Source organism: Homo sapiens, chromosome 19 (genome assembly GCF_000001405.40).
Source record: "Homo sapiens chromosome 19, GRCh38.p14 Primary Assembly".
NCBI classification, from domain to species: domain Eukaryota; kingdom Metazoa; phylum Chordata; class Mammalia; order Primates; family Hominidae; genus Homo; species Homo sapiens.
In genome coordinates this window covers 589,881-617,177 of record NC_000019.10, presented here as the reverse complement: position 1 = coordinate 617,177, position 27,297 = coordinate 589,881, and the positions used below count along the sequence as shown (strand labels likewise).

The 27,297-nt window shown below is 63.2% G+C and overlaps 1 protein-coding gene, 1 long non-coding RNA gene and 1 pseudogene across 2 annotated transcripts, besides 6 other annotated features; 2 read left to right on the top strand and 1 right to left on the bottom strand.

Moving 5' to 3' along the window:
- HCN2 (hyperpolarization activated cyclic nucleotide gated potassium and sodium channel 2) lies at positions 19-27,297 on the bottom strand. The gene is made up of 8 exons (NM_001194.4): positions 26,601-27,297; positions 13,211-13,634; positions 11,956-12,117; positions 8,996-9,214; positions 6,773-6,919; positions 3,690-3,930; positions 3,162-3,326; positions 19-1,383 (listed from the first exon to the last, which is right to left on the bottom strand). The coding sequence occupies exons 1-8, from the start codon at positions 27,230-27,232 to the stop codon at positions 704-706; spliced, it is 2,670 nt and encodes an 889-aa protein (NP_001185.3). The 5' UTR covers positions 27,233-27,297; the 3' UTR covers positions 19-703.
- Positions 3,658-3,839: a silencer, noted in NCBI's record as "fragment chr19:613339-613520 (GRCh37/hg19 assembly coordinates)". NCBI's record gives its function as "represses an EF-1alpha promoter that drives an FKBP-Casp9 reporter gene in an ReSE screen in K562 erythroleukemia cells {active_cell/tissue: K562}" and the evidence as "EXISTENCE:reporter gene assay evidence [ECO:0000049][PMID:32094911]".
- LOC107987266 (uncharacterized) lies at positions 3,705-7,238 on the top strand. Its single transcript, XR_001753828.2, has 2 exons — positions 3,705-4,299; positions 6,024-7,238. It is a non-coding gene; the product is annotated as an uncharacterized LOC107987266 (long non-coding RNA).
- Positions 5,959-6,268: an enhancer, noted in NCBI's record as "active region_13566". NCBI's record gives its function as "activates an Ori minimal core promoter by ATAC-STARR-seq in GM12878 lymphoblastoid cells {active_cell/tissue: GM12878}" and the evidence as "EXISTENCE:reporter gene assay evidence [ECO:0000049][PMID:35858748]".
- Positions 11,760-11,829: an enhancer, noted in NCBI's record as "active region_13565". NCBI's record gives its function as "activates an Ori minimal core promoter by ATAC-STARR-seq in GM12878 lymphoblastoid cells {active_cell/tissue: GM12878}" and the evidence as "EXISTENCE:reporter gene assay evidence [ECO:0000049][PMID:35858748]".
- Positions 12,656-12,705: a silencer, noted in NCBI's record as "silent region_9610". NCBI's record gives its function as "represses an Ori minimal core promoter by ATAC-STARR-seq in GM12878 lymphoblastoid cells {active_cell/tissue: GM12878}" and the evidence as "EXISTENCE:reporter gene assay evidence [ECO:0000049][PMID:35858748]".
- Positions 12,786-12,865: a silencer, noted in NCBI's record as "silent region_9609". NCBI's record gives its function as "represses an Ori minimal core promoter by ATAC-STARR-seq in GM12878 lymphoblastoid cells {active_cell/tissue: GM12878}" and the evidence as "EXISTENCE:reporter gene assay evidence [ECO:0000049][PMID:35858748]".
- Positions 13,190-13,390: a silencer, noted in NCBI's record as "peak3211 fragment used in MPRA reporter construct". NCBI's record gives its function as "represses an SCP1 promoter by STARR-seq MPRAs in K562 erythroleukemia cells {active_cell/tissue: K562}" and the evidence as "EXISTENCE:reporter gene assay evidence [ECO:0000049][PMID:32103011]".
- Positions 25,563-26,875, top strand: LOC100420586 (Rho GTPase activating protein 33 pseudogene; annotated as a pseudogene).

The following is a 27,297-nucleotide window of genomic DNA, read 5'->3' as shown; positions in this document are numbered from 1 at the left end:
AATCACACGCGGCCAGGCTTGGCGCCAATGCTGTCGTTTATTGCGCGGAATGGGGGTGTGGGGGTTAATGGGGCGTGGGGGGCCACGGTGGGGGCACTGCTGCCTCGGCTCGTCAGTACATTCATCACGGCGGCGGGACCCCAGCCTCCCCCCCGCGCCCTGCGCAGCCAGGCCTGCCTCTCGGTGCCAGTGCTGGAGGGAGGCGGGGTGCTGCTCCCCGAGGTCACCGGGGGACGCGCGCGGACGGGGGCCGGGCCGGTTATTGCGTGAGCGCGATGGGGGCAGCGGGAAGCCGGCGGGCCAAGTATTGCACTTAGAAAACGATCCTCCTCGGACGGGGGCCACCTAGAGGGTGGGGGGCGGGCGGGGCTCCACAGCCGGCTCCTCTCAGCCACTGGGCCGCCCCGTCCCTGTCTTACAGCTGGGGGAACTGAGGCACCGAGGTGAAGGGAGCCCCCTCGCACGCGAGGCCGCCGCCGGGGGCAGGGGCGATGGGGGTGGGCGCGGGGCGATGAGGGGGGACGGCCGGGGGCGCGGAGGGGGCTGCCCCGCCGGCCCTGCCCGTCCGTCCAACTACGGCTACCTACGTCTCGTCTATGGCTTCTGGGCGGACTGGCGGCCGGGGCAGCGCAATGGCATGGCTTTGGTCTGGATGACGGCCCCGCCCCCGGCCCGCCTGGGCCCGCGGGGCGGTCGGCGAGGGTCACAAGTTGGACGAGAGGCGCGAGCGCGCGGAGTCCTGGGGGTCCAGGCCGCCGGCGGCGCCGGGTGAGGCCGAGTCCCTGCGGTCCGGGCTGGGCGCGGCGGCCCGGGCAGCGGGCGTGGGCCCCAAGCGCGGTGTGGAGCTGCTGGCCGGGCGTGTGGAGGCCGCGGGGCCGGGGGCGCCGTGAGGCAGCGAGGGCTGCGAGGCGGACAGTGGGCGCGACGCGCGGCTCAGGCGGCGCGCGGGCAGGGCGGGCCCAGCAAGGGGGGCGGCGGGCAGGCCGCCGTAGGGCGAGGTCCGCGGTGCCCGGGGGCTGGCGGGCGCGCCCGGGGGGCTGGCGGGGGGCGGGGGCCCGGGTGAGGCGGCGGCAGGTGCGGGCCCCGGGGGCGGGCGGCGCACGAGGCGCGGCGAGCCGAGCGCCAGCGGCCCCACGAGCGGCCGCGCCACCTGCGGGCAGAAGCTCATGGCCGCCGCCTGCTGCAGCGTGGCGATGGCCGAGGTGACCTGCGGCGGCGGCGGCGGCGGCGGGAAGAGGCCCACGCGCTGACCCAGCTCGGCCTGCTGCACCATCTCGCGGTCGTACTTGACGATCTCCTGGATGATGGCGTTCTCCTGGTTGTTGAATACGCCCGAGTTGAGGTCATGCTGCACCTTGTGCAGGAGGATGGAATTCTTCTTGCCTGCGGGAGAGGGGGCGTTAGCGTGTGCACAGGGAGCGCCTGCTGCGTACAGCGGGCACCGAGCACCTACTCTGCACCGCGGGTGCGCACACAGTGCTTGCCGTGTAGAGCAAGCATGCATTTACCACCTACTGTATACAATAAGCACATATGTAGCATCTCTGGCCTATAGTATGGATATTGAGTACCTGCCATATACAGGCTGAGCACCTGCTATGCACAGCCAGCATGCATGAAGCACCTGCATACAGAAAGCAGGGCTTTTGTTTTGCTTTGTTTCTGAGACGGAGTCTTGCTCTGTCGCCCGGGCTGGAGTGCAGTGGCGCGATCTCGGCCCACTGCAAGGTCCACCTCCCGGGTTCACACCATTCTCCTGCCTCATCCTCCCGAGTAGCTGGGACTACAGGCGCCCGCCACCACACCCGGCTAATTTTTTGTATTTTTTTTTTAGTAGAGACGGGGTTTCACCATGTTAGCCAGGATGGTCTCAATCTCCTGACCTCGTGATCCACCCACCTTGGCCTCCGAAAGTGCTGGGACTACAGGCGTGAGCCACCGCGCCTGGCAGTAAACAGGTATTTAATGCCTGCTGTGTACATGGAGCAGGTATCACTGTGCACCAAGTATGCATGTGTACCACCTGTATACGCTGATTATGTAATGACTGCCTCCAGTGTGCCACAGGCATACCGAAAACACCTGCCTGTACACAGCCTGTGCTGAGCACCTGCTGTATACAGAAGTTATAACCTAAGCACCTGATACTCAGGAACGGGTTGCATACTCACTGTATAGAGCAAGTTGTGGAGAGCTTCCTACTGTACACCAGGGAGCTCCCTGACACCACTCCGTCGCACCTGTCCTGCGTTTCAGCCATGGTCTTCATTCCCATTCCCACGAACAGCAGCATGAGCCGCCATCTCTCTGGCGCCTACATCCAGTCATCAGGGCTCTGCCCCTCCCTGCCCCAGAGACTGCCCCCCTGAGAGGCCAGGTCACCGTCTCCCTCCTGGACACGGCCCGCCTTGGCGGATACAATCTGACCAGGTCCTCCGCCCACCTAGAACCCTCCATGGCTCCCTGATGCTCCTGATTTAGTCTAAACTCTCCCTGCCGCCCACTGGGCCCTGTGTGTCTGGCCTCCCCTTCTTCCCCAACCTCCTCCAGGCCTCCCTGGCTCTCTGGACTCTAGGCCTCTTTTCCACCTCAGGGCCTTGGGATGTGCTGTGTCCACTCCACGAACACATCTTCCTCCCCGTTTCCACATGGCATCCCTTACCCTGGTCTCCACTCTGCATTCCCAACTCAGGGAAGCCCACCGGCCCCACCTGCCCTGCTGGCACACAGCCCAGTCGTGTGTGATTTCATCACCAGTCCATAAGCCTCCCTGGGAGTCTGAGTGGGCCCCCGGGTCTGTCCCCTGCACCCCCAGCACACAGCAGGTGCTCACCGAGCATTCGGCACAACCGCAAACACCCTGTGCATTCCCTCCCTTGGGAAACAGGCTGCCTCTGGCTGAAGTAGGACAATAGGTCAGAAAATCAGCCTCTAGACCCAAAGGGGTCCTAGGAGCGGCCAGCCGCTGCCCCTGCCCCAGCCACGCCCCTGCTGCCATGGCCACACTCCTGATGCCTTGGCCACGTCTCTGCCCCAACCGTGCCCCTGATGCCACAGCCACGCCCTTCCCCCTGCCACTGTCCAAGCCACTCTCCTGATGCCTTGGCCACGCCCCTCCCCCGCCAGGGCACCCGCCCCGGCCACGCCCCCGGCCCGCTCACCGATGCGGTCCAGGCGGTCGATGGCCACCGTCTCGAAGGCGCGCCGCATCATGGGGTACTCCTCCAGCACCTCGTTGAAGTTGTCCACGCTCAGCGAATAGAGGCGGCAGTAGGTGTCAGCCCGCACGCTCGCCGTGCGGCGGCCCCGGGTGAGCAGGCAGATCTCTGCACGTGGCGCGCAGGGGGGGGTTGCTGGACGAGGCGGGCGCCGCGGCCCTCCCCGCCCAGGCACACGGCCCGGCCTCTGCACCTTGGCCAGCGTGGGCGCTTCCCACCCAGGCTCTCCCTGGTGCCGGCCCCGGCCCCATCCCCGGCCCCATCCCCGGCCCCATCCCCGGCCCCATCCCCATCCCCGGCCCCATCCCCATCCCCATCCCCGGCCCCATCCCCATCCCCATCCCCATCCCCGGCCCCATCCCCATCCCCATCCCCATCCCCGGCCCCGGCCCCGGCCCCGGCCCCCTGGCTCTGCACACCGCGGGGGTCGCGTGCCCCCTCCCCCTCCAGGCGCGCCCCCCTCAAGCTCACCCCCGAAGTAGGAGCCATCGGACAGCTTCATCTCCTTGTTGCCCTTAGTGAGCACGCTGACCACGCCGTGCTGGATGAAGTACATCTTCTTCCCGATGGTGCCTTCGCGGATGATGTAGTCACCCGGCTGGAAGACCTCGAACTTGAGCTTGGTCAGCATGGCCGTGACGAAGTTGGGGTCGGCGTTGGCGAACAGCGGCATGGAGGCCACCAGCTTCCGGCAGTTGAAGTTGACGATCTCCTGCAGGGGGGAGGCAGGGCTGGGTCCGCTGCGGACCCCACTCCCGCTTCCCCCTCGCCCTGCCTCTGGGACCGGCTCACCTCTCGGACCCCAGTTTCCTCGTCTGAGAGACGGGCTCAGCCCCGTAGCCGGAACCGAGCTGCTGCCGCCAAGGACGGGAGAAAGAAAAAACGCTCAGTGCCCCTTCGCCGTTTGACACCGTATTGGCGACATCTGCCAATACAATCGGACCAGGAGGGGCGGCTGTAGACAAGAGCGGTGGAAAGGAGGCCGGGTGCGGGGGCTCACGCGTGTGATCTCAGCATTTGCGGAGGCCGAGGCGGGAGGATCGCTTGAGCCCAGGAGTTCTAGACCAGCCTGGGCAACACGGTAAGACCCCCGTCTCTACCGGAAAAAAAAAAAACAGCCAGGCGTGGTGGTGCAGGAAGTCGAGGCTGCAGTGAGCCGTGATCCCCACACCACTGCCCTCCAGCCTGAGCGCAGAACAAGACCCTGACTCAAAAAAAAAAAAAAAGAAAATGGGGGAAAAATAAGGCCGGGCGTGGTGGCTCACACCTGTAATCCCAGCACTCTGGGAGGCCAAGGTGGGTGGATCGCCTGATGTCAGGAGTTCGAGACCAGCCTGGCCAACATGGTGAAACCCCATCTCTACTAAAAATACAAAAAATTAGCTGGGTGTGGTGGCGGGTGCCTGTAATCCCAGCTACTCGGGAGGCTGAGGCACGAGTCTCTTGAACCCGGGAGGAGGAGGTTACAGTGAACCAAGATCACACAACTGCACTGGAGCCCGGGTGACAGAGCGAGACTCCATCTCTCTCTCACACACACACACACACACACACACACACACACACCAGTGGAAAGCTACATTCGGTCAGACTATCAGGTGATTTTTGAAAAATCAACATGAAAACCAAGGGTCTGGAGATGAATCAATGGTGTGGGAAGTCAGGGCAATTCCCCTTAGCAAAGGCAGCTTCTAAGGACGGCAGGAACGTTCCAGCTTCGTTCTGTGTGGTGGTTACACCACGTTCCCTTTAGGGACCAGCTATCGAGCTGTGCCCTTATGACCTGGGGCACTTTTTGGTACTTTTTTTTTTTTTGAGACGGAGTCTCGCTCTGTTGTCCAGGCTGGAGTGCAGTGGCACAATCTCGGCTCACTGCAACCGCCGCCTCCTGGGTTCAAGCGATTCTCCTGTCTCAGCCTCCAGAGTAGCTGGGATTACAGGCGCCCACCACCACGCCCGGCTAATTTTGTATTTTTAGTGGAGACGGGGCTTCACCATGTTGGCCAGGCTGGTCTCGAACTCCTGACCTCAGGTGATCTGCCCGTCTCGGCCTCTGAAAGTGCTGGGATTACAGGCGTGAGCCACCACGCCTGGCCATATGTGGGTTTAAAGATTTGACTTTGCAACTCCTAAACACCTAAATAATGACTAAGTAGCGTGGGTTGCCAGGGGCTGGGGACGGGGAGTGAGCTGGTGACTAACACCCCAGGTCTCCTTTTGGGCCCATGAGAATGTTCTGGAGTGAGGCTGTGGTATCGGGTGCAGCACTCTGTTAATACTAAAAGCCACCGCATTTTATGCATTTTGTGGTCTGAGTGTTATATCTCTACAAATGAATGAATGGAAACCGTAGTCATCAAATGCAATTAAACATTCTTGGCGAAGCGAACCGCAGTGTGTGCCTCCTGGGAGCAACGGGTGTACACGCCCCCCCAGAGGCATTCCCGGGGCCCGAGGTCCCTAGTGTCAGGCCCGTCCTGCCCGCCTCCTCGCCCAGCTCCTCCAGCCCCTCCTCGGGGCCTCTGCCCGAGCCAGGTGCTACACCGGGGACACCCTGCCTGGCTCACACACGGCCTTGCTGATGTCGCCTCCCCGTCCTCGTCCCTCCCCGCTTCCCAGAGCTGCTCTCTGCTGCCTGCGTGATCACGGCCGCCATCCCTAGGCCCCGCTTCCTGAGGGTGGGACCTTCAAGCACACGGCAGGGCACGCAGTCGGCGCTCAATAACTGTTTGATGTGTGTTGTGGGTTGAACTACATCTCCCAGAAAGACAGGCTGACATCCTGACCCCCGGTTCCTGTGAATAGGACCTTATGTGGAAATAGGGTCTCTGCAGACATGGCCCAGTTAAGGCGAGGCCACGAGGAACCGGGTGGGCCCTGATCCAACGACGGATGAATTTACAAGAAGAGACAGAGACACACAGGGGAGAAGGCTGTGAGCAGATGGAGGCAGAGATCAGGGAGATCAATCTGCAAGCCAAGGGCGCCTGGAGCCCCAGACGCCGGAAGAGGCAGGAAGGATCCTCCCCAGGGGCTCCGGGGGGGTAGCACGGCCCGGCCCACGCCTTGATGTTGGGCTTCCGGCCTCCAGGACGGTGGGAGGCCGAATCTCCGCTGTTCAAGCCACTCAGCCTGTGGGTATTTGTTCCCGCAACCCTGGGAAACTTGCCCAGGGTCACTCAGGCTACCGGAACAGAGCTGGGAGTTAAACCCGCTCCAATCAGCCTCAGTGCCCCCAGGACCTGGTGCTCAGCGGGGCCTCTGCGGCTCCTCCCTCCCCACCCCCTGCCCTGCTTCTGCCCCGCCCTGTCAGGCACAGACCCAGGCAGTTCTGCTAAGGGGGCAGCGGGAAGCAAGGCGGGGGTGGCGGGGGTCCTGGGGGTGCAGAGGCTCACGGGGCGGGGAGGGGAGGGTGTGTACGCAGGTCTAGCTCGAGTCCCTCCTGCTGCAGCCTAGGCACCTCGCCTCCCTCAGGGACCGGCTCCTGGGCTCCAGGAGAGGGAGGCCGGCCCTGTACCGGAGGCTGCCTCCCGCCCGCCCGGCGCCCGCCTCACCTCCCGCAGGGGCCCGTTGAGCTCGCCCAGGATGCTGTCCTCGTCAAACATCTTGCCCTGGTAACGGTGCTCATAGTAGTCGTGGATCTTCTGGCGGAAGTCAGCTGGCAGCTTGTGGAAGGACATGTACTGCTCCACCTGCTTGTACTGTGGGGAGGAGGCGAGGCTGGGTCAGACACCGCCCCCGGCCTGCAGCGGGCACAGGGGCACCTGCTTGTACTGTGGGGAGGCGAGGCTGGGTCAGACACCGCCCCCAGCCTGCAGCGGGCACACGGGCACCTGCTTGTGGGTCAGACAGCCCCCCGGCCTGTGGCGGGGAGATAGGCCTTCACACCTGCTTGTACTGTGGGGGGTCAGGGCTGGGTCAGACAAAGCCCCCGCCCACAGCGGGGAGACAGGCCTCCGCCACACACAGGGGCGGCCAGATTCAACAAGAGCAAATAAACATGCTTCTATTTAAATCAAAGTTGAATTCGTTTCAATGATAAATTCCATTTTTTTTTTCTGAGACACTGTCTCGCTCTGTGGCCCACGCTGGAGTGCAGTGGTGCAATCACAGCTCACTGCAGCCTCCGCCTATGGGCTCAAGCAATCCTCCCACCTCAGCCTCCTGAGTAGCAGGGACTGCAGGTGTGCGCCACCACGCCTGGCTGATTCTTTTATTTTTTGTGGAGATGAGGTCTCGCCATATTGCACAGGCTGGTCTTGAACTCCTGGGCTCAAGGGATCCTCCCACCTCGGCCTCCTGAGTAGTGGGGATTACAGGTGTGCACCACCCTGCCCTGCTAATTTTTTAATTTTTTGTAGCGATGAGGTCTCGCCGTGTTGCTCAGGCTGGTCTTAAACTCCTGACCTCAGGCGATCGGCCTGTCTCGGCCTCCCAGAGTGCCGGGATTACAGGCAGGAGCCACTGCACCAGGCCGGGTGCCCTGAACTTTATCTAGCAACCCTATCCCTGAGGAATGGGTGGGCACCTGACTCTACGAGGAGAGGCCCCAGGTACCCTGACACACAGGACCCCCTTCCCGGGGGCTCTGGCCCTTCCCTGATGATCTTTCCAGAAACCATCGGGTCAGCCCCTCCTGAGCAGGGAAGGGAGCGTGGGTGCTGGGCGGGGGTGCCAGGCCCTGCTGTCCCCAGGACGGTGCCCCCCGGCAGCTCCAGCCTCACTTCCGCCCCAGCCCCGCCCGGCCGCAGCTGCCCTGAGCTCAGCGGAACCCGTGACGGCGGGCGGGTGGTGGCACCAGCTTATGTTTGGGTGTGAGGCCCGTGGCTTCCGGACAGCAGGGCGCCTGGCACGGGGCCCAGCTGACCCAGCCAGCCACTGCTCGGGGCGCGGGAGAGGGGGGCACTTGGCTCCCAGCCAGGACCAGCCAGCCGCCTAACATGGGGAAACTGAGGCACAGAGTGGTGCATGAGGCCCAACTCCAGGGGCTGCCAATGGGGCCAATCCTAATCTCCCTCCACCCCTCCCAGCTCCCCCGTGTCCCCTCCACTGCCAAGCCTAGGATTAACCCAATGGACGCTGCAGGCCAGAGGCCGCATCTGAGCAGTGGGGCAGCCTTGCTCTCCCTGAAGCCTGGCCCTGACTGCCGGCCACCGGCGTGTCCTGAAGCAACCCCAGGCCTCTCAGACCCCGCCAGGCCCTTCCCTAACCCAGCCCCATCCTGAGCCGGCCTAGAGACCCCCAGGTGGGCCCAGCCTCCTGGCAATGCCCCTTCAGCCCGGGGGCTTCCCGATGTCCAAAGACTGACCCTGTCCTGCCCTGATCCCAACTCACCCCTTCCTGCCCAGCCTGCATCCCCTCCCCAGCCCCCGCCCCACGTCCATCTCCAGGCTCTGGACCTCCCTCCCTGTCACAGGGTCAGAGAACCTCTCACCACCGGCCGTTTCTCCTCCTAATCACAGCCACAGACCCCCAGGGTCCCCTGCTCCCCATCACGCGGTCTCTGCCCTGAGCGCGCCACTTGAAGCTGAGTGAAGGGCTGAGACTGCCTCTCCCCTCAGACCCCGGGGCCGGGCCCGCCCCTCCCCTCAGACCCCGGGACAAGGACTACCTCCGCCCTCAGACCCCAGGGCAAGGCCTCCCTCCAGCCTCAGACCCCAGGACCGGGCCTGCCTCCCTCCATCAGACCCCAGGGCCTGGCCTGACTCTCTCTCAGACCCCAGATCCAGGCCCGCCTCCCCCATCAGAACCCAGGCCGGGGCCCGCCTCCCTCAGACCTTCTCCTGGTACTGGCGCCGCGAGGAGTCCAGCGACTGGATGAGGGCAGTGGCGTGGCCGATGAACATGGCGTAGCAGGTGGCACCCACAATCATGCTGAGCATGGTCAGCCAGATGTCCGTCATGCTCTCGGGCGCCTGCCGGCCGTACCCGATGCACAGCATGTGGCTCATGGCCTTGAAGAGTGCGAAGGAGTACAGTTCACTCCACGAGTGGTTCTGCAAGGCCAGCAGGAGGGGCGGTGGTGGGCAGGTGCTCACGCCCCAGGAGCCCTCGGTCCTCAAGGGCCCAGCGCCCACCCTCTGCCAAGCACTGGAGGTGGTGAGCTCCCCATGTTCAGAGGTAACCAAGAGAAATGGAGACCCAGGTAGATGACATGGTTTGCACACTTGTCACAGTGAGTTGGCAGGAGGGCCAGGGCTGATTCTACCTGCCCGCTTCACTCCTGGGGAAACTGAGACCCCAAGGGCGAGAGTCTGGGTCCCGCCTTTTGCAGCCTCTGAGATCAGAGCATCTGTGAGGTCAAGAGGGGGCAAAAGTTCCAGGGAGCATCTGGGCCAGAGCAGAGGGGCAGGGCGGGCAGAGACACCAGGCCGGCCCAGGAGGTCCTGCCGCACCAAGTCCTCAGCTGACCCGGCCGGGAAAGGGGAGCCGCGGGGCTCTGTTCAGGAAATGGGACCGCATGTGCGGGTGGCAGCCAGACAATGGGCTGCCTCAGCCTGGGCAGCTGTGCCAGGCTCTGGGGAGGGGCACTGGCGGGTCTTCCCTCTGTAGCTCCTGACCCCATCAATGCCCACCTGCTCTGTGTCCAAACCAAACACATCCCAAGTCCCATATGTGGCTGGACGCTGGGGCACAGCACTCCCCAGGCAGGGACAAAGGCTCACTGGCCACTAACCTGACTGTAGCGGCCGAGGGCTCCCATAACTAACCCTTCTTAACAGTCAGCACATCTCAGCTAGGAAGCAAGGAGTATCTGGGACCTAACTTCATTTATTATTCCTTCTTTTTTGACGGAGTTTCGCTCTTGTCGCCCAGGCTGGAGTGCAGTGGCACGATCTTGGCTCACGGCAGCCTCCGCTCCCGGGTTCAAGCGATTCTCCTGCCTTGGCCTCTCAAGTAGCTGGGATTACAGGCATGCGCCACCACGCCAAGCTAGTTTTGTATTTTTAGTAGAGACGGGGTTTCTCCATGTTGGTCAGGCTGGTCTCAAACTCCTGACCTCAGGTGATCAGCCCCACCTCGGCCTCCCAAAGTGCTGGGATTACAGGCGTGAGCCACCGCGCCCGGCCTCTTCCTTTTGCTTTTACTTATTTTTATTTATTTTTTTTGAGACAAAGTCTGGCTCTGTTGCCCAGGCTGGAGTGCAATGGTGTGATCTCAGCTCGCTGCAACCTCTGCTCCCGGGTTCAAGCGATTCTCCTGCCTCAGCCTCTACAGTAGCTGGAATTACAGGTGCGCGCCACCACGCCTGGCTAATTTTTTATTTTTAGTAGAGACGGGGTTTCAGCATGTTGGTCAGGCTGGTCTCAAACTCCTGACCTCAGGTGATCCGCCTGCCTCAGCCTCCCAAAGTGCTGGGATTACAGGCATGAGCAGCCATGCCTGGCCCATTTATTATTTCTTTGGCATGGTGATACCACTTTCCCAATTCAGGGCCATGTTGTAAATTTTTCTTTAGTTGTTAGAGATCAGGTCTTGCTCTGTGACCCAGGCTGGAGTGCAGTGGTGCAATCATGGCTCACTGCAGCCTCAACTTCTGGGCTCAAGGGATCCAACCAGGCCGGGCGCGGTGGCTCACGCCTGTAATCCCAACACTTTGGGAGGCCGAGGCAGGCGGATCACCTGAGGTCAGGAGTTCGAGACCAGCCTGACCAACATGGCGAGACCCCGTCTCTACTAAAAGTACGAAAATTATCCAGGTGTGGTGGCGGGCGCCTGTAGTCCCAGCTACTCGGGAGGCTGAGGCGAGAGAATCCCTTGAACCCTGGGAGGTGGGGTTTGTGGTAAGCCGAGATCGTGCCACTGCACTCCAGCCTGGGCGACAGAGTGAAACTCAGTCTCAAAAAAAAATAAGTAAATAAAATAATAATAATTAATGTGGGTTAATTAAAAGGGAAATCCATTGGAAAACGCGCTAAGCAGATGTCTGGGTGACAGGACTCATCATAACCACACTCAGCTTCTCTCCACGGATGATCCCAGGCCTGAAAGGTTCCAAGTGGCTGTTTCAGACCCCCAGGGACATTAAGGGGCCAGTGCCGGGGCTGCAGTCCTGGGTCCCCCTCTGTAAAGAGGCCTGAGTCCTCCCGTGTAAGGGGGTCTTGTCCCCACCCCTGAAGGGCCTGTGTCTCTCCCTCTGTAAGGCGGCCTGGGTCCCCGCCTCTGTAAGGGCCCGAGTCCTTCCCTCCATAAGGGGGCGCCTGGGTCCCCACCTCTGTAAGGGCCCGAGTCCTCCCCTCCATAAGGGGGCGCCTGGGTCCCCACCTCTGTAAGGGCCCGAGTCCTCCCCTCCATAAGGGGGCGCCTGGGTCCCCACCTCTGTAAGGGCCCGAGTCCTCCCCTCCATAAGGGGGCGCCTGGGTCCCCACCTCTGAAAGGGCCCGAGTCCTCCCCTCCATAAGGGGGCGCCTGGGTCCCCACCTCTGAAAGGGCCCGAGTCCTCCCCTCCATAAGGGGGCGCCTGGGTCCCCACCTCTGTAAGGGCCCGAGTCCTCCCCTCCATAAGGGGGCGCCTGGGTCCCCGCCTCTGAAAGGGCCCGAGTCCTCCCCTCCATAAGGGGGCGCCTGGGTCCCCACCTCTGTAAGGGCCCGAGTCCTCCCCTCCATAAGGGGGCGCCTGGGTCCCCACCTCTGAAAGGCTTGGGTTCAACCCTCTGTAAGCGGGATAAGGGGGCCTGGGTCCCCCCTCTGTATGGGAGCCTGCGTCTCCCCCTCCGTCAGGGCCCGCGGCGCTCACCACCATGCCATTGATGGACACCCAGCAGTTGCGCGGGAAGTCCTGCAGCATAGGCACCAGGAACTGCAGGCAGCCGTCCCAGTGGCAGAGCAGCAGCATCATGCTGATGAGATTGCAGATCCTCATCACCGCGCTGGCCAGGTCATAGGTCATGTGGAAGATCTGCAGGAAGGCGCCGTGAGCCCACCCTACCCGCTGACCCCCGGCCCCCACCTTCAGAGCCCCAGCCCCGTGCGCCCCCACTGCGGGAGCTCCTGGCCCCCTCCCCCAAATCCAAGGCCCCGCACAGGACCCCCGCCCCACCCTGCAGCCCTGCCCCGGGACCCCCGCCCTCCAAACCCACAGCCCCCACCCCAGGACCCCGCCCACCTCTACAGCCTTCACTGCAGGACCCCCCCAAATCCACAGCCCCCGCCCTAGGACACCCCCCAAATCCACAGCTCCCCACCCCTGATGTCTGACACCGCCCCAGCACAACCCTCATATCCCCACCCCTGATGTCTGGCCCTGCCCCAGCAAAACCCGCATTGCCCCGCCCCTGCTGCCTGACCCCGCCCAGCACAACCCTCATAGTCCCGCCCTTGCTGCCTGACCCCGCCCAGCACAACCCTCATATCTCCACTCGGATGTCTGACCCCGCTCAGCACAACCCTCATAGCCCCGCCCCTGATGCCTTGACCCCGCCCAGCACCCTCACAGCCCTGCCCCTGCTCCTTGACCCCACCCAGATATCACGGCCCCACCCCTGCTGCTTGACTCCACCCCAGCAGCATCATAGCCCTGCCCCTGCTGCCTCGACCCTGCTCAGCAACCTGATAGCCCCACCCCTGCTGTCTTGGCTCTACCACTGCACCATTGTAGCTCCACCCCTGCACCCTCATAGCCCCACCCCTGGGGCCTTGACCCCACCCAGATCTCTCATAGCCCCATCCCTGGGGCCTTGACCCCACCCAGATCTCCCATAGCCCCACCCCTGGGGCCTTGACCCCACCCAGATCTCTCATAGCCCCATCCCTGGGGCCTTGACCCCACTCAGATCTCTCATAGCCCCATCCCTGGGGCCTTGACCCCACCCAGATCTCCCATAGCCCCACCCCTGGGGCCTTGACCCCACCCAGATCTCTCATAGCCCCACCCCTGCTGCCTTGGCCCCACCCATGCACCATTATAGCCCCGCCCCTGCTGCCTTGGCCCCGCCCATGCACCATTATAGCCCCGCCCCTGCTGCCTTGGCCCCGCCCCCGCCCCACCTCACCTCCTCCCACTGATGGATGTAGCGGATCAGGCGTGAGAGGCGCAGCAGCCGCAGGAGGCTGAGGATCTTGGTGAAGCGCACGATGCGCAGGGCGCGTGCCGTCTTGTAGACCTCGGAGTCAATGCCCTTCTCCACGATAAGGAAGATGTAGTCCACGGGGATGGAGGACACGAAGTCCACCACGAACCACGTGCGCAGATACTTCTTCTTGATCTTCTCGGGGTCCAGGATGATCTCCGTGTTGTCCTCGATCACAATGCCGGTGCGGAAGTTCAACACCAGGTCCATGAGGAAGAAGGTGTCCGAGACCACGTTGAACACGATCCACGGGGCAGTGGTCTCATCCTTGAAGAAGGTGATGCCCACTGGGATGATGATGAGGTTTCCCACCATGAACAGCAGCATGGTGAAGTCCCAGTAGAACCTGGGGGCGAGGGTGCCCACACCTCAGGCCGGTGCCTCCCCGGGGCACCTGCGGGACCAGCCCCGGGCACTCTTCCTTGGGGGACGAGGGGCGCCCACACCTCGAGCCAGTGCCTCCTCCGAGGAGCCTGCGGGACCAGCCCCGGGCCCTCTTCCCTGTGGGACGAGGGGCACCCACACCTCAGGCTGGTGCCTTCCCCCAGGCACCTATGGGACCAGCCCCGGGCATTCCTCCCTGGGGGGCGAGGGTGCCCACACCTCAGGCTGGTGCCTTCCCCCCAGGCACCTATGGGACCAGCCCCGGGCATTCCTCCCTGGGGGGCGAGGGTGCCCACAGCTCAGGCTGGTGCATTCCCCCAGGCACCTATGGGACCAGCCCCGGGCCCTCTTCCCTGTGGGACGAGGGGCACCCACACCTCAAGCTGGTGCCTTCCCCCAGGCACCTATGGGACCAGCCCCGGGCATTCCTCCCTGGGGGGCGAGGGTGCCCACACCTCAGGCCGGTGCCTTCCCCCCAGGCGCCTGCAGGACCAGCCCCGGGCATTCCTCCCTGGGGGACGAGGGTGCCCACAGCTCAGGCCGGTGCCTTCCCCCCAGGCGCCTGCAGGACAAGCCCTGGGCACTCCTCCCTCGGGACCAGGCTCCCACCCCAGGAAGGCCACCCAGCCCCGAGGGAGCCCAACGCCCACTGCGCTGCCCTAGCCCAGGTCCCTTCCTCAGGCCCAACTTTGACCCCGTGTCCTTGAAGATGCAGGAGACCTCACAAGGCCCAAGAGGTGGCTCAAAATAGATTAAGTGCTTCACATGACCAGAGAGGGACAATGTGCCTGGCACAAGGTTGGCGTTAAAAAAATAGACAGGACAGGACAGCAGAGGAGCAGAGAGGAGCCGGGGTGCAGAGGGGCACTGGGAAGCAGCAGGGCGAGGCAGGGCGGCGCGCACAGGGAGAGCGAAGGCGGGAAGCCAGGGTGGGAAATGAACCGTGCTCAGCTCACGCCGGGAGGTGAGGGCCCCAGATGCCTTACTGAGAAGCGGGAGCCTCCACAGGGGCCACAGGAAGACTGAACCAGGGCAGCACCGGCTGCATTTCCAGAGGAAGTGGGGCGTCCACGCAGGAGGAGAGAGGAGGAAGTGGGGCGTCCACGCAGGAGGAGAGAGGAGGGAGTGGGGCGTCCACGCAGGAGAGGAGGAAGTGGGGCGTCCACGCAGGAGGAGAGAGGAGGGAGTGGGGCGTCCACGCAGGAGGAGAGAGGAGGGAGTGGGGCGTCCACGCAGGAGGAGAGAGGAGGGAGTGGGGCGTCCACGCAGGAGGAGAGAGGAGGGAGTGGGGCGTCCACGCAGGAGGAGAGAGGAGGGAGTGGGGCGTCCACGCAGGAGAGGAGGAAGTGGGGCGTCCACGCAGGAGGAGAGAGGAGGGAGTGGGGCGTCCACGCAGGAGGAGAGGGGAGGAAGTGGGGCGTCCACACAGGAGGGAGGGAAGCCAAGCAGAGACGGGGCTGGCGCCACAGGGGAGGCCGAGAGGGTGGGAGGAACGGCCGAGCCGGACTTGGCACCATTCGGACGTTCCGTATGATAAATACCCGTGGACAAGAGACCAGAGGGCGTTTCCACTCCCAGATACACCCGGCCAGAGTCCAAGTCCCCAAGGTGGATCCCAAAACTCTCCCTGGGAAGCTCTGGCAGAAAAGGTCCTGTCGGTTCAGGGCCTGCGTATGGCGGGCCAGACACGGTGCTGGGAGTGCCGCGTCCACACAGGAGGTCATAGAGGGTCAGCAAATGGCTACTGGACAGATGCCCAACCCTTTCGCTATCGAGAAAATGAAAATCAAAACGACTCGGAGCAAACACGGGTGGCTCCTTAAAAAGACATAAAATTACCAGCCTCTCCCTGCCCCGAGATTATACCCAAAGAAATGAAAACAAGGACGGACGAGCACCCCGCCGTGTTCACACCAGCTTGATTGCGGACGACAACCACCCCACCGTGTTCACACCAGCTCGACTGCGGACGACGACCACTCCGCTGTGTTCACACCAGCTCGATCCACAGTAGCAAAAAGGCAGAGGCAGCCCAGGTGCCCATCACCAAACGGAGGGACAAACACGGCGCGACCCGTCCACCATGGAACACGACTCAGCCACGAAAAGGAGTGAGGCTCTGACCCAGGCCACGGCGCAGATGCCCCTTGAGGACGTCACGTTCAGTGAGAGAAGCCATTTCTTTTTTTTTCCGAGACGGAGTCTCACCCTGTCGCCCAGGCTGGAGTGCAGTGGCACCATCTCGGCTCACTGCCACCTCCGCCTCCCAAGTTCAAGCGATTCTCCTGCCTCAGCCTCCTGAGTAGCTGGGATTACAGGCATGAGCCACCACTCCTGGCTCATTTTTGTATTTTTAGTAGAGACAGGGTTTCACCATGTTGGTCAGGCTGGTCTCGAAACCCTGACCTCATGATCCTTCTGCCTAGGCCTCGCAAAGTGTGGGGATTACCGGCCTGAGCCACTGCGCCCGGCCGTGTGAGCCCATTTCTACGAAATGTCCAGGACAGGCCAATCCAGAGACAGGAAGGGGATGCATGGGTGCCGGGGGCCGGGGGTTGGAGGGGTGAGAAGTGGCATGTGCGGGGTGCGGTTTCTGTCCGGGGGAATGAGAAAGGTATGGACTATGGATAGTGGTGACGGTTGTACAACAGCAAGAATGGGCTTAATGACACTGATTGATAGGTTTTACAATGGCTAATTGGAAAACTGATAAAAGAAAAAAGCCTGCTGGGTGCGGTGGCTCACGCCTGTGTTCCCAGCACTTTGGGAGGCCAAGGCAGGCGGATCACTTGAGGTCAGGGGTTTGAGACCAGCCTGGCCAATATGGTGAAACCCCGTCTCTACTAAAAATACAGAAATTAGGCCGGGTGTGGTGGCTCACGTCTGTAATCCCAGCACTCTGGGAGGCAAAGGTGGTCGCATCATGAGGTCAAGAGATCAGGACCAGCCTGGCCAACAGAGTGAAACCCCAGCTCTACAAAAAATACAAAAAAAAAAATTGGCTGGGCATGATGGCACGTGCCTGTAGTCCCAGCTACTCGGGAGGCTGAGGCAGGAGAATCGCTTGAACCAGTGAGGCGGAGGTTGCAGTGAGCTGAGATCACGCCATGGCACTCCAGCCTGGCAACAGAGTGAGACCCCATCTCAAAAAATAATAATACAAAAATTAGCCGGGCGTGGTGGCGGGCGCCTGTAGTACCAGCTACTCGGGACGCTGAAGCAGGTGAATTGTTTGAACCCGGGAGGTGGAGGTTGCAGTGAGCCGAGATCGTGCCACTGCATTCCAGCCGGGGCAACAGAGCGAGACTCTGTCTCAAAGAACAAAACACAACAAAACAAAAACCTCTGGGCTCTGGGGCCAAGGGCTCTTGCTGAAGGGGAGGTTCCAGACTGGGGTCTGAGCCCACATGGCCTGCGTGTGCCTGACTCAGACAAGGGAGGGTCTTGAATTTCCAGCACAAAGATTCATAGGATTTTGCCATTAACACTGGGGGCTAGGCCAAACACACTGGCTCATGCCTATAATTCCAACATTTTGGGAGGCTGAGGTAGGAGGATCGCTTGAGCCCAGGAGTTCAAGACCAGCCTGGGTAACATGAGACCCTCTGACACACACACACACACACACACACACACACACACACACACACACACACACGGGACCCCTTCCCATCCCTGTACCAACTCAGCCTTCTTAGTTCTTGAGGTTTTCTTTTTTGAGACAGAGTCTCACTCTGTCGCCCAGGCTGGAGTGCGATGGCACAATCTCGGCTCACTGCAAGCTCCGCCTCCAGGGTTCACACCATTCTCTTGCCTCACCCTCCCGAGTAGCTGGGACTATAGGCGCCCGCCACCACGCCCAGATAATTTTTTTTTTTTTTTGTATTTTTAGTAGAGACGGGGTTTCACCATGTTAGCCAGGATGGTCTCGAACTCCTGACCTCGTGATCCGCCCGCCTTGGCCTCCTAAAGTGCTGGGATTACAGGCGTGAGCCACCGCGCCCGGCCAATTCTTGAGGCCTTATCCCCACCCCAGGCCCAGCCCCTCCCTATCATGGCCGGGGTCCCCACATCCTTTCGGAGGAGATGCTGAGGGACTGGAGGGACTCCCCAAAGTTAACACCAATAAAGAAAAACCTGGGAGCTCATCGCTGGCGTGGCCGCCGGGACCTTTGTTTCAGGAGCCGCCGAAAGTCGGCTCCTTGCTTCTGGACGGCTCCTCGAGGGAAAAGCTGTTAACACCACGTCTGCGGGGTGACCCAGACGCTCCACTTCGGGGAAATGATCCCGAGGAAACGGTCCAAAAGGAAGAGAAAAAAATTAAAAAGCCATTTGTACCAAAATGTTCACAGCAGCTCGGTCTGCAAGAGCCAAACGCTGGAAGGGACCCAGCGACTCACATCGTGGTGGCATCAGCCAGACCTGGGCTGGCACCCGCCTGCTGGCACAGTGACCTTGGACAAGTTCCTGCAGCCCCTGAGAACCTCAGTCTCTTCTTCCAAGCATCCACCGCCTCGGGATGGGGAGGGGCTGAGCCTTCGGGACACCCCCCAAGAACCACCCAGGCTGGGGATAAAACCTAGAGAAGGGCTGACTCAGGCTGGGCACGGTGGCTCACGCCTGTAATTCCAGGGCTTAAGGAGGCTGAGGCGGGCAGATTACAAGGTCAAGAGATCGAGACCATCCTGGCCAACACGGTGAAACCCCGTCTCTACTAAAAATACAAAAATGTATTATTTTTTTGTGTGAGGTGGCGGGCGCCTGTAGGCCCAGCTACTCGGGAGGCTGAGGCAGGAGAACGGCATGAACCCGGGAGGCGGAGCTTGCAGTGAGCCGAGATCGCGCCATCGCACTCCAGCCTGGGCGACAGAGCGAGACTCCGTCTCAAAAAAGAAGGGAAGGGTGGGTGCAGGGGCTCATGCTTCTAATGCCAGCACCTTGGGAGGCCAAGACTAAAGGATCACAGAAGCTCAGGAGTTCAGGACCAGCCTGGGCAAGATAGTGAGATCCCGTCTCTACAAAAAATACAAAAATTAGCCAGCGTGGTGGTGCGCACCTGTGGACCCAGCTACTTGGGAGGCTGAGGTAGGAGGATTGCTCGAGCCCATGAAGTCGAGGCTGCAGTGAGCCAAAACTGCACCATTGCACTCCAGCCTGGGTGACAGAGTGAGACTCTGTCTCAAAAAAAAAAAAGGCTGACTTGATCTCGGGGTGGGGAGGGGTCCCCTCACAAGCTTGAAGGGTGAAATCAAATGACTAAAAGGACTAGAAATTTAAGGCCTTCCTTTCCCTGAGTCTAGACAGGACATGAGGGCTCAGGCCCCCAGTCCGACACATCTGCTCAGCAACGAGACCCCCAGGGCCCCAGCACCGAGTGGGCTGAGGGGATGCCACCCGCCTGCCGCTGGCCCCCTGCCCCTCAGCCCCGAGGGGGCTCACCGTGGAGCTCAGCCCCAGCCTCACCCTCTGGATTGAGACCTGCCTCCCACCTTCGAGCACCAGTCTTGGGACAAAACCAGCAGGAAAGAGCAGTTGAGAAGGCCACAGGGCCTAGAAACCTCCCCCACGAGGGGCGAGGAGAAACTCCCAGGGGGCTCCAGAGACCACCAAGGGGGACCTAGAAACTGCCAAGGAGACCTAGAAACCGCCAAGGAGACCTAGAAACCACCAGGAGGACCTAGAAACTGCCAAGGAGACCTAGAAACCACCAGGAGGGCCTAGAAACCACCAAGGGGGACCTAGAAACCACCAGGAGGACCTAGAAACCACCAGGAGGACCTAGAAACCACCAGGAAGACCTAGAAACCACCAAGGAGACCTAGAAACTGTCAAGGGGGACCTAGAAACCGCCAAGGAGACCTAGAAACCACGAGGAGGACCTAGAAACCACCAAGGGGGACCTAGAAACCACCAGGAGGACCTAGAAACCGCCAAGGAGATCTACAAACCACCAGGAAGACCTAGAAACCACCAAGGAGACCTAGAAACTGTCAAGGGGGACCTAGAAACCGCCAAGGAGACCTAGAAACCACCAGGAGGACCTAGAAACCGCCAAGGGGTACCTGGTTTTAAACGGCCATATAACATGAAGGCCTCCTTTCCAGGTGATGATTAACAGACATTCTCCCCCTTTATTCTTGGGGTGAGCTGGGGGCAGGTACCACACCTCCCCTCTGATGGAAGTGGGACTGCAGGATGAGACCCCAGGACTGTCCTCTTATCCACGGCCCACACTGTCTGGAAACCACCTCCCTTGAGCCTTCTGCTCCTGTGTCCCCAGAAAGGACTCCTCAGCCCATCTTGCCCAGCAGGGCAGTATTCCTGGGGATTACGGGGGTCAGAGCAGAGGGGCCTAGGAGAAGGGACAGGTGGGGTGGCCACCCTGAGGGTCCCTTGTGGGGCTGGGCCTGCCCGTTCCAACCACAATGCCTCCAAGCAGGGCTTGGGGCCGCAACCCTCGTCGTCACCAGCCAGAGGTCAGAAGGAAGAAGGGCGCCCACGCATGTCCCCTACCAAGGGGAAACCGAGGCCTGGGGCAGAGGGGACCCCAGAGCCCTGCAGGGCGTCACTGTCTCTGCCGGTGCACCCCAACCCTCTCCACCCCAACCCTCTCCTTGCCCAACACTAGACTGAGTGACCTTGGGAGACCCTCTCCTGCCTCTCGCCCTGGGGAGGGGGAGGCAGCTCCAGAAGACAGGACCCCAGAGAGGGGACCTGGGGTCAGGGGAAGGCCCAAAGCCCAACCCCACTCCCCCTCACACTCTGTGCAGCCGCGTCCGGCAGCCCTTTCCCCATCCGGCCACCATAGGGACCCAGGCGGGCCCCAGCACTCCCCGGGCACCCTGTGCCCTCCTTGTCCAACCCCAGTGCTGAGCAGGGACAGGCCCCCCTCAGCTGTCACAGAAACATCAGTGACCATCATTAAATCCTGTATTTAAAACCCATCCCCGACAGGTAACAGTGAGGCCTCTACGAGGGCCCCTTCCTCGGAAACGCGGGGGTCCTGCCACTTTGTCCAGCTTGGCCCTCGCAGGCAGGGAGGGAGACCAGCTCCGGAGGCCGGGATGAGGCTGGGTCCCTGGGGAAACCTTCCGGCCTCAGCTCTCACACCTGGGGGACCGGAAGAAGCCTCGGACCCCCTCTCACTCCAGAGTGGCTTCAGTGGGGCCCCCGGCACCTGACACCGATGTGAGCTCAGCCCTCCTCCAACAGCCGCCCAGCCTCTCTCTCGGCTCTGACACGGAAACTGAGGCTCCTCCAGCCATAAGTGAAACAGTGGGATGGGAACCCAGACAGACCATGTCATTCTCCTGCCCCGAGCTCAGGGTTCTTCCCCTGAAGTTCCCAAAGCCGACGCAGGTCCCCGTCTCTCCAGGGCTGGATGAAGCTTGGGGGAGGAGGCCGCCGACCCGGCTCCCAAACCCCACGAGGACACCAGGTCTCCTGGCAACAGAAGGCCCAGGACCCTCAGCCCCTTGGATCCCAGGGGAGGGCCTGCCCAGGGGGTCTTCAGCCCCTGCTGGAGCCTGAGTCCCGGGTTGGGGAACGGGCGAGGGCAGCCAGGCCCTCCCCGCAGGAGCCCAGCCTCAGGCCGGAGGCCGTCCAGGATTTACAGATGGGGACAATCCGGGAGAGGATTAGGGGCCGGAGGTCGGTGATTAAGGGAGAGCCTCGGGCCGGGGGATTAGGAGACGGCACTCTCAGCTGTGGAGTCATGGCCAGATCCGTGGCAGGTGCCCAGGATTAAGAAAGGGAGCTGCTACGGGTGGGGGAGATCTCGGGTTCCCGGGTGATCCCGACGGGGCAGATGTTCACCGAACTCTCGCCGGGCGCCGGGGCACACGATGACCACACAGGCCCAGCCCCAAGACAGACACATGGGATGGGCCTGTCAGCCCCAGGCAGGTGGGAGGGCTCCTTGGAGGAGGTGGCGTGTGGGTGGATGAGATGGTGAGGGGAGGGCAGTGGCTGAAGAGGGGCAGCAGGTGCGGAGGTTGATGCTCCGGGTTCCCTTCAAGGCCGGTGGGCGGCCTCGGGACCAGGGGACATGACTGGGGAGGGCTGGAGCCAGGGAGGAGGTAGAGGTGACAGGGAAAGAAGGACCGATGTCTGGAGAGGCCCATGCTGACAGCCGGGAGGCCAGAAAGGGGGACGGGGAGGCATCTGGCAGGAGAGAGGCGGCCAGCGCACAGGGTGCGAGGCTGAACCGTGGGGTGGGGGGTGAGGCAGGGCCCGGCCCAAGTGAGTGGGGGGCTGATGAAGGTGACTTGAATATGTGGGTTTTTAGGTTTTTTTTATTTTTTTGAGACAGGGTCTCACTCTGTTTCCCGGGCCGGAGTGCAGTGGCACGATCATAGCTCACTGCAGCCTCAACCTCCTGGGCTCAGGTGATCCTCCCGCCTCAGCCTCCAGAGTAGCTGGGACTACAGGTGCACGCCACCACGCCTGGCTAATTTTTTAACTTTTTGTAGAGATGGGGGTCTTGCTATGTTGCCCAGGCTGGTCTCGAACTCCTGGGCTCAAGCGATCCTCCCGCCTCCGCCTCCCAAAGTACTGGCATTACAGGCATGAGCCACAGTGCCTGGACAAAGATGTCCGTTTTCGAGCAGGGAACATAGGGAAGGCCCTGAAGAGAGCGGGGAGGCCTTGGCCACCCCGACCCCTGACCCCTCCACGCAGACCAGAGGGCAGGCCACCGCCACCTGGGATATGGGTCCATGCACACCCCACCATCCTGCACACGCTGGGCCTTCCTGCCGTGACCAGAGCCAGACAAACCCTCGCCTCGCCCTGCCCCCGGGGCCATCCCCCCAGGATAATGGGGGGTTTATTCCCACGCCCTAATGCTGGGATTCATCACTGCGGATTTGCAGAGCTGCACCCCCAGGCTGATCTCCCGCTGACCCACTCAGCCATCTGAGGCGGGGCCCAGGGGCCGCCTGTCCTGGTGGGGTCTTGGAGCAGCTCCTCCCCGACCAGTCCTCTCGGGGACCCCAGGGGACATAACAGATCCTGGCTTTGGGGAGCATCTCGTCTGTCTCCCCTCACACGGGGCCTCCCCAGCTGAAGACAATTCAGAAACACAGACCTGCAAGTCAGCAGCAGCAGGAGACGGCAGGGCGGCCACAGGGCACTTAGCCCTGGAACTGGACCGAGGGCAGTCAGGAAGCCGCCAGCCTCTCTCCACCCGACACCTGCCCTGTGCCCCCCAGAGCTCCCAGGGCACAAACCCCGGATCTGCCCAGGTCTCCACCCCGCCAGGTCTGCCCAGCCCCCTCGGTGACACCGGGGGCAGGGAGGGTGGATGACAGCAAGCTTCGGAGAACGCGACCTCCTCAGACCGCCCCTCCCTGGGCCTTCGTGTCCCCTCCAGCCCCAGCCCCTCTCCTGCGGAGACACCCTCCAGCCCCAGCCCTTCTCGTGCAGAGACCTCCAGCCCCTGCCCCTCTCCTGCGGAGACACCCTCCTTTGCACGACTCAGGCTTTCCCAAGTGGACCTGTGTGGCCTTTAGAATCAGCGGCGGCTGGGGTGAAGGGAGTAGGAATGAACTATACTTATTTTTGACCTAATTTTGCTCTGGGAGGCACAGAAGACCCTGCCGAAGCCCTGGGGGTTGCATAAGGCCAAACCCCTTCCTTCTTGGTTTTCACGCCTGTTCCAATTCAGGCACCAACCGTGATCACCTACAAGGAAGGGAACTTGAGCCTCTGGAACCCAAAACCTTGAACTTGGGTCCTTGAACTTGCTCTTCCACCAGCACCCCAGGGAAGCGCCCAGCATGCCTCTGGGGACTTTCAGACGTCAGGCCGGGGTGTAGAGCCACCCACAGCCCCAGAGACTTCAGCAATAGACCAACTGCACTTCTTCTTCCTTTTCTTTTTTTTTGAGACCAAGTCCCACTCTGTCAGCCAGGCTGGAGTGCAGCAGCGCGATCTCGGCTCACTGCAACCTCTGCCTCCTGGATTCAAGTGATTCTCCTGCCTCAGCCTCCCGAGTAGCTGGGATTACAGGCGCTCGTCACGATGCCCAGCTAATTTTTGCATTTTTAGTAGAGACGGGATCATCTCACCATGTTGGCCAGGCTGCTCTCGAACTCCTGACCTCAGGTGATCCGCCCGCCTCAGCCTCCCAAAGTGCTGGGATCTCAGGCGTGAGCCGCTGCACCCTGGCACCAACTGCACTTCCAAAGGGGCCAGCCGCCCAGGCCTGAGAGCCGAAATCTGGACCCACGTCAGCCCAGGACCCATGCTCTGCCCCTCAGAAAATTCAGCAAATATGTGGCACCTGCTGTATACTGGGACTGGGACGTGGGGCGTGAAAGAGGCCACTTCCGAGCACGGGAGCAGGGTGGACTTGGGCGTGGCGGAGACAGCTGGGCAGCGAGGAAGAACCGGGGTGAGGGCGTGCCTGGGGGGCACAGGCTGGGCAAGGAGCACAGCACTCTCTCAGCAGGAAGGGGAGGTGAAGAGAGTGTGAGACGTGAGGCTGAGACACTGGCAAGGCTGTGAAAGACCCCATCCTTCTCCCTCATACCATCCCCACCGTGCAATTGGGGAAACTGAGGCAGAGGGGCCCAGCGAGGACCCAAGACACCCAGCCAGGCACAGGAGGCCTTGGGCCCGAAGCCAGTTGGGGCCAGGCTCCTGAGTCAGCTGCAAACGTAGAGGCCCCTTCGCTTGCTGTGGGCTGCCCCAAAACACCCTCCACAGCAGGGTCCGGCCGCCTGCTTAGGGAGCTTTTGAGATATTCTTGGGGGTCTTTTTCCACACTGATTCCACACTGGCACAGGTCCCAAGCCTGGGGAGGGTCCTAGGGGCCCCGTGCACCCAGCTTGGCAACATCGAAATCCTTTTTTAAAATCTGACTGCCGTGACTCCCCTAGTCCCGAAGACAGGCCCCGCTAACCCCATTCCCTGCCTGCTCAGTTCCACTTCAACACTCATCTGCCGGGGTGGGGCTGCACTTGGTCCACACAGGGGCCTCTGAGCCCTCTATGCCTCAGAGCACAGAGCGGGGCCACAGCCTGCCCAGGCCTCCAGGCGACCACGCCCAAGGAGGGTGGAAGGATGAGAGGGCTTCACTCCTACCACCGGCCTTCCCCCCAAGCCCCGGGATCAGCCATCTGCCCACCTGCCCCCCAGGCCACCGACCGCCCCTCTGCAGCCAGGGGGTCGCTGGAGCTGCCCAGGGGAGGGAGTGGCTGGTGTGGGCCTCCACCTGCCAGCCCCCACGCTGCGGTGCACCCATCTCTGTCGAAGGTCATGCTGGAGGGGACGGAGGGGAGTGGGCACGTTCTACAGCTCCCTCTCCACCGCGTCCCTCTCCGGTCAGGGGGTGCCACTGCCCGACTGGAAGTGGGGCCAGGCCGACCAGCAGCCCTGGAAGTCCAGTCCTTCCCGCTCACTGTCCACATTTCGCAGGCCAGAGCCCAGATGCTGACCAAGCTCTCCCGGTGGGGCACAGAGGCAGGGTGGGAGGGGCCGGACACAGCCCCTCTGGGGATTTCGGGGCTCCTCCCACCCCTGGCCTGTCTCGAAATCCAGGCTTCTGGTCAAAGCTGTATTCACCTCTCAGGAAGGCCTGGGGTGGGAGGAGGATTCCAGGGCCTTCCTCCAGGCTCTGTCCAGGACGCATGTGCCCCAGGCCTCAGTTTCTCCAGTCAAGCACTAGGGGTGCAGAGAATCCAGGGGAAGAGAGAACCCCACAGCCTCCCTGCCCAGTTCCGGGGGTCCAGGGTCCGTGGGGGCTGTCCTGGGGCGCCCAGGCCTGGAGGAGGAGAGACAGGCGGGAAAACCGCAGGCTTCCCAGGTCCGGCGCGCTGTCCGTGGTGCTGAAACCGCGCCCGTCCCGCGCGCCCGGCCTCGCTAGCCCGGCGGGCCCCACCTACACCCTCCACCTGCACCCTCCACACCCCACCTCACACCCCACTCGTGGATACACAAACACACACGCATCCCTCCATGGTCGCGTGTGTGAGACCTGCCTGCGGCTCACACTACTGCCCACCGGTGCACACCGGCCCCGGGCGTACACGCGCACGCCCGCCACCTGGTCCCAACACACACAAACCACACGTCCCACCAAAATAAACCCACCGGAGGCGCACACGCCCGCGACCACCACGCAAACACACTCCTGGAGACACACCTCTCCGGCCACAGGCTCGCGCCCCGGGAACCCCGCCGCGGTCACGGGCCCCTGTTCACACACAGCCCACGGGGACACGCGCCGGTCTCGCTCTCCGGCCACAGCACGCACAGCCCAGGAACCACGACCGCAAACATCAGTGGCGGTGGCCCCGCGCCGGCCCTGCTCCGAGCCTTCCACGCATTAGCCGGCTGGATCCACAGCGGCGTCTACACACCCACCGCCGCATGCGCGCACCGCCCGCGGCTCGGGTGGAGCGGCTCCCGGGGACACAGCCTGGGGACCCGCACGCTTTCCAGGCCCGCGGCCCCGGGCGCGCCTCCTCGCAGGCGGGGCGCGGGTGGACGCCGTGGGAGCCGCTTAACCCCCTCTCCCCCGGCCTCCCTGGGGCGCGTCCTTCCCGGGCGCCCTTCGTTCCTCCTCCCTCCCGCTCCGCCGCCTCTCTGGGGCCCACGTTCCCCTCTATTCGTCCTCTCTGCCCCTCTGCGCTCAGACCCTGGCCCTGCGGCCCACCCCACCCGCCGCGCCGCAGGGCGGAGGATGTCGGGGTGCGTGGGAGGGGGGCGCTCCGCGGTCACCCGGGGAGCCCCCCCAGAGGCGGAGCCTCGCGCGCCGGGGTCACTCCGGGGCGGGTCCCGGACACGCCCGAGGTCACCGAGGAGCCCCGAGGTCACCGGCCCGGCGCGCCGCCCCGCCCTCCCCAGGCGCTCCAAGGACGGCTCCCCGCGCGCCCGGCTCCCCGGGCCCCCTCGCGCCGACCGGCCCTCCCGGAGGCGGTACCTGAAGTCGCTGTACGGGTGGATGATCCAGGCCCCCGCCGACTTGACGCGCTCCTGCTCGCGCTCCACGGCCTTCTGGCTGCCGAACATCCGCAGCGAGAACTTGTTGACGCCCGGCTGCAGGAGCGCGCCGAACTGGCGCTGCATGAAGCTGGCCTGGCTGCCGCGCGGCTCCCCCGCCGGGCCCGCCTCCTCGCTGCCCGCCTCCTCCGCCGGCCCCGGCCCCGGCGCGGGCCCCGAGGCCGCCCCGCGGCACGAGAACGACACCTTGGGCCCCCGCGCCGGGCCCTCGGGCCCCGCGGGGCTGCACTGCGGCTCGCCGCGCCCGCACTCGCCGTTCGGGCTGCCCTTGGCCGTGCTCGCCGCGCCCGGGGTGCCGGGGCGGCCGCACGAGCTGTCGCGGCTGCGGAGCCGGCCCCGCGGGCCGCCCTCATCCGCCGCCTCCGGGGGCAACGCCTCGGCCCGGGGCGGGTGCTGGGGGGGCGCGGGCCCGGGGCCCGGGGGGGGCGCGGGCGGCGGCGGCGGCGGCGGCTGCTGTTGGGGGGGCGCGGGCGGCGGCGGCGGCGGCGGCCCCGGCGCGGGGGTCGCGCCCGGGCTCTCCCCGGGCCGCCCGCCGCCCCCGCGCGCGTCCATGGCGAGGCGGCGCCGGGCAGTGCGGAGCGGAGCCGCCGCCGCCGCCGCCGGCCGGAGCCCGAGGG